We start from the raw sequence: 4,732 nt of genomic DNA on the forward strand, positions 1-4,732 counted from the left end.
TAGTCTCCCAGACTGGAGTGCACTGAAGTGATCTCAACTCACTGCAACCTCCGCTGTCCAGGTTCAAGCAATTCTCCTGCCTCAGCCTCCCCAGTAGCTGGGATTACAGGTGCACACCACCATGCCCGGCTAATTTTTGTATTTTTAGTAGAGACGGGGTTTCACCATGTTGCCCAGCCTGGTCTTGAACTCCTGACCTCAAGTGATCCACTCACCTCAGCCTCCCAAAGTGCTGGGATTACAGGGGTGAGCCACAGCGCCTGGCCTGCAGTGCCCTCCTAAGTGGTTTTGCTGCTCCCACATCCTGCTCTCACCCTGTTCAGGATACTATCGGTGCCGCTTCCCAAAAGATCCTGTTCAAACATAAATCAGAGCCTGTCACTTCTCCATTAAAACCCTCCAGTGGCTTCCTGTATCATGCTGGGTGCAAACCAAAGTCCATACTACCACCCACAAATTGTAGCAAGATACTGCTCCTTTTAGCCACACTGACTTTAACTCCTGTGACGCTCCCGTCCTCACTCCATTCCAGCCATGCTGTTCATCAAACTGGCCTTTCCCCTGTTCATCAAACTGCCCAGGTGAGCTCTTAATCTCAGGAACTTTACACTTTCTCTTCCCACTGCCTAGAATGCCCTTGCCCCAGCTAACTGCCAGCTCACTCCCTTGCCTCTGTCAAGTCTCTACTCGAAATTTCCTTTCTCAGCAAGGACTTTCCCAGCCCCCTGGTTTGACATTTCATACTTCCCCAATGCCTGACATTACATATTGCTTTCCCAGCTTTTTTTCTTTGCTCAGCATTTATCACTATCTCACATGCTATAATTTTTATATCTTTTATCTTGTTTATCAGCTGTCCCTCCCAGCAGAACGTAATTGCTATGAGGACATTGATTTCTATGTTTTGTTTACAACCGTAGCCTGGCATCCAGAACAGGGCTTGGCACATAGTAGGCACTTAATAAATATTTACTGAGTGAATGAATAGATGGCTCCTTGCCCTAGATCTTCTCTTGATTACCTGTGCTTCAGAAGCTGGTGAGAAATCAGCAGAGGTTTCTAAGCACTTCCAATAAGTTGGAGTTGCCAATAGAAACATGTTCCTTCTCTACTCTCCCTCCCTGGCGTGCAGGGACCTGGGAAAAGCAGAGATGCTGATCGATATCTCTGACTGGGAAGGAAGATGGGATTAGGTACTAGAAATAAGAGGAAGGATGTCTCCGCCCGTCTGCTCAGAGGCTGCAATCTGCTTGGCATGCCGCCTGCTCCCAGAAACAGGATGTGTCCAGAGAGGAAGTGACTGCAGACGTGGAGTGGGGGAAAATGCCCCGTGCCTGAGACAGAACACTTGAGGCTAGTCATTCTGGAGCCTTCCAAGGGTCCATTCCTGGGGGATGAGTAAAATCCGCTCCGCAGTCTCACAGTGACTCATTCTGAATGGCGGAGAATCCAAAGCCCTTCCCTAAGTTAGGGCAAAAACAGGTGCTTCCTCCTCTGGGGTTCCCAGCTTGGGTGACTGATGCTGAAGGACAGAGGATGCCCACACACCTTGTTGGAGGCTCTGCAGGAACTGACAAAGAAAATAGCATGGTAGAAAGTCATTTTAACCAATCTTCTCTTCCTTGACTTGAGGTCAGAAGTAGACAAGTCTAGAAGGCCATTGCCCAGGTGTTTCTTAGGAAATCCGCTTCCTGCACCTTCCCCAGTAGCGGGTAAAGAGGCAAGATCGGCCTGACTGAGCCCTGGGGCCTCAAGCTCAGGCAGCCTGGCAGAGGGAGCCCCCTACTTCATTGAGCTGGTCCAGCCCCAAGGCCACAGAGGCTTTTTTTTTTTTTTTTTTTGATATGGAGTCTTGTTCTGTCGCCCAGGCTGGAATGCAGCGACGCAATCTCAGCTCACTGCAACCTCTACCTCCTGGGTTCAAGCAAGTCTCCTGCCTCAGCCTCCCGAGTAGTTGAGACTACAGGTGCCCACCACCATGCCTGGCTAATTTTTGTATTTTTAGTAGAGTCAGTGTTCCACCATGTTGGCCAGGCTGGTCTCAAACTCCTGACCTTAGGTGATCCACTTGCCTCAGCCTCCCAAAGTGCTAGGGTTACAGGTGTGAGCCACCACGCCTGGGTTTTTTTTTTTTTTTTTTTTTTTTTTTTTTTTTTAATTTGAGACAGGGTCTTGCTTTGTCGCCCAGGCTGGAGTGCAGTGGCACCCTTCACCTCCTGGGTTCAAGCGATTCTCCTGCCTCAGCCTTCCGAGTAGTTGGGATTACAGGTGACTGCCACCATGCCCGGCTGATTTTTGTATTTTTAGTAGAGATGGGGTTTCACTATGTTGGCCAGGCTGGTCTCAGACTCCTGACCTCAGGTGATCCATCCACCTCAGCCTCCCAAAGTGCTGGGATTACAGGCGTGAGCCACTGCACCTGGTCTGGCCCAGCCATAAGTCTTATTTTGCAGCCCAAAGAGAGAAAAACAGTCCCTACAGACACTCCCCAGGGGCTCTGCCTTGGTGGGCTCTCAAATTTGGACTCTGCCTGTAGGCCAAAGGGCACTAATGTCATAAAACCCACACCAGGAAGCTTGCGAAGAAAAACAACTTGGCTGTTTAAGAAAAGACCCACAAACACAGTGCCGAACATGGAAATGGACAGAGGCATCGATGCAAGTTTCCAGAAGGGCAGAAAAAGCTAGAAAACTCTCCCAACACTGAGTAACCACAGCAATCTCTAGACAGGTTCTGGGCCTTATGTTTACGATGAAATGCAGGAAGCAGCTCAAAGCCTAGAATGTTATTGTGAGCATTAATATTATGTTCATAAAAGCTGTGGTATTTTTTTCTTCTTCTCTGAAAGCCAAAGCAAGCATCTCTAAACTTGTCCTTGATAAGAGGTTAAATATAGCAGGAGGTGTCATGCCAGTATGCTGCTTCTAATTTATTTACAGAAAAGAGCCCCTATGGTGCAAGACATTCTGTAAGCTGCTTTTTTGTTTGTTTAAACAGTTGATCATGAGCATCTTTTCATGTCGGTATGTATACATCTACACGGTTCTATGTGCTTTCTGTAAACTAAGAAACTAAGGGGTCTTCCTCAGTGAAAGAGGTAGAGCTTTTGTAGGAAATAGCCTGGAAGTGGGCGTGGCCATAGAGGCCCCTGGGCCCCAGCCAGGCATCCATTCTTCCTCCCGGCTGCGGCTGCGGTGAACATTCTTGTGACCAGGAGCTCACACTTCAGCCCTTTCTCATATTCAGCAGAAACTGGCGCATCTCAAGTCTGAGCCCCACTTCCTGTTACAGCCAGAAAGCCGAGGAAGCACCACCCCTTGGCTGTCTAGAGCTCCCCAAATCCCTGCAATTTCTTCTCACCTTGCCCCAAGCTCATGTCTTCCTTTCTAGAAGCTGGAGATGAAGGCAAAGCAACCATTCTTCCTGGGAGAGTCACCAACCATCCCCATTTGCCTGGGACTAGGGGGTCTCCTGAGTTGTGAGACTTCAGGTTTTAAAACCAGGACAACCCCAAGAAAACCAAGATAGTTGGTCAGCCCACTCCCAGAACTGGAGGCATGGCCAATCCTGACAGAGCTGCTGGAGGTCCCCTTTTCACAGTTCCAACAAGGGTCAGGTTGGAATTTTCCAGAAGGCATACCTACGGAGATTCTCCAGCTGGGCCTGCTTGAGTCCCATGTCCACCCCAGAGATAATCGCCAGGACAGAGAGTGGATGCAGAGGAGGCAGATGAGAACCGCCCACCAGGAAACAGGCACGTCCCATTCTACAAAGCCTTCACATGTCTGAAGCCAGCCTGACCTCTCCCCAGTTTCTCCATTTGTCCTCAAATGCAGGGCTTCCCAGGCCCTTCCCCATCTGTGGTATTAGGGAGGGGACCACTCTGGAAGGAGACCCTAGGCTTTCCCTCCCACCTGAGTGTCAGTATTCTCAGAGGAGCCAATCTGGAAACGAGATCTCAGGAGGTCTGAGGGGAGCTGTGGCCAATGGGCAGGCCTGCGAAGGCAGAAGACACCGACTCCACTGCTGGGCTGTGGGAGACCCTCGGGGCCAGCAAAGTCAGGCAACCAGGATAGGCTCATGTTTAAGCAAAATGTCAGGAACAATTTTCAAATAATCGACTCCATTTGCTCCAATTCAGCCTTCCAACACTGCTTCAGGTAAAATGCCTCTTTTTACATTTCAACCAACGGGTCTTATTGTTAATCTGGAAAATACACAATAAATGCATTACTTTCCCTGTATTTCCAGGCTTTCTAGACACTCTTTGGCACATGTATGGTACTTTTTTAGTTTAACAATTGAACCCACTAATTTCAATGTAAAGGTACTTTGCAGGCAGACACCTATAATCCCAGTACTTTGGGAGGTTGAGGTGGGCAGATCACCTGAGGTCAGGAGTTCAAGACCAATCTGGCCAACATGGTGAAACTCCATCTCTACTAAAAATACAAAAATTAGCTGGGCATGGTGGCAGGTGCCTGTAATCCCAGCTATTTGGGAGGCTGAGGCAGGAGAATAGCTTGAACATGGGAGGTGGAGGTTACAGCGAGCTGAGATCACACCATTGCACTCTAGCCTGGGCGACAGAGCAAAACTCCATCTAAAAAAAAAATACAAGGCTGGGCAAGGTGGCTCACACCTGTAATCTCAGCACTTTGGGAGGCCAAGGCAGGTGGATCAACTGAGGTCAGGAGTTCAAGACCAGCCTGGCCAACATGGTGAAACCCCG

General features: G+C 49.2%; 1 annotated feature.

Moving 5' to 3' along the window:
- Positions 409-1,608: an enhancer, noted in NCBI's record as "P300/CBP strongly-dependent group 1 enhancer chr17:62702502-62703701 (GRCh37/hg19 assembly coordinates)". NCBI's record gives its function as "activates an origin of replication core promoter dependent on BRD2, BRD4, P300/CBP, MED14 and CDK7 cofactors, with strong dependence on P300/CBP, by STARR-seq in HCT116 cells {active_cell/tissue: HCT116}" and the evidence as "EXISTENCE:reporter gene assay evidence [ECO:0000049][PMID:35650434]".

Source organism: Homo sapiens, chromosome 17 (genome assembly GCF_000001405.40).
Source record: "Homo sapiens chromosome 17, GRCh38.p14 Primary Assembly".
In the NCBI taxonomy this organism is placed as follows: Eukaryota; Metazoa; Chordata; class Mammalia; order Primates; family Hominidae; genus Homo; species Homo sapiens.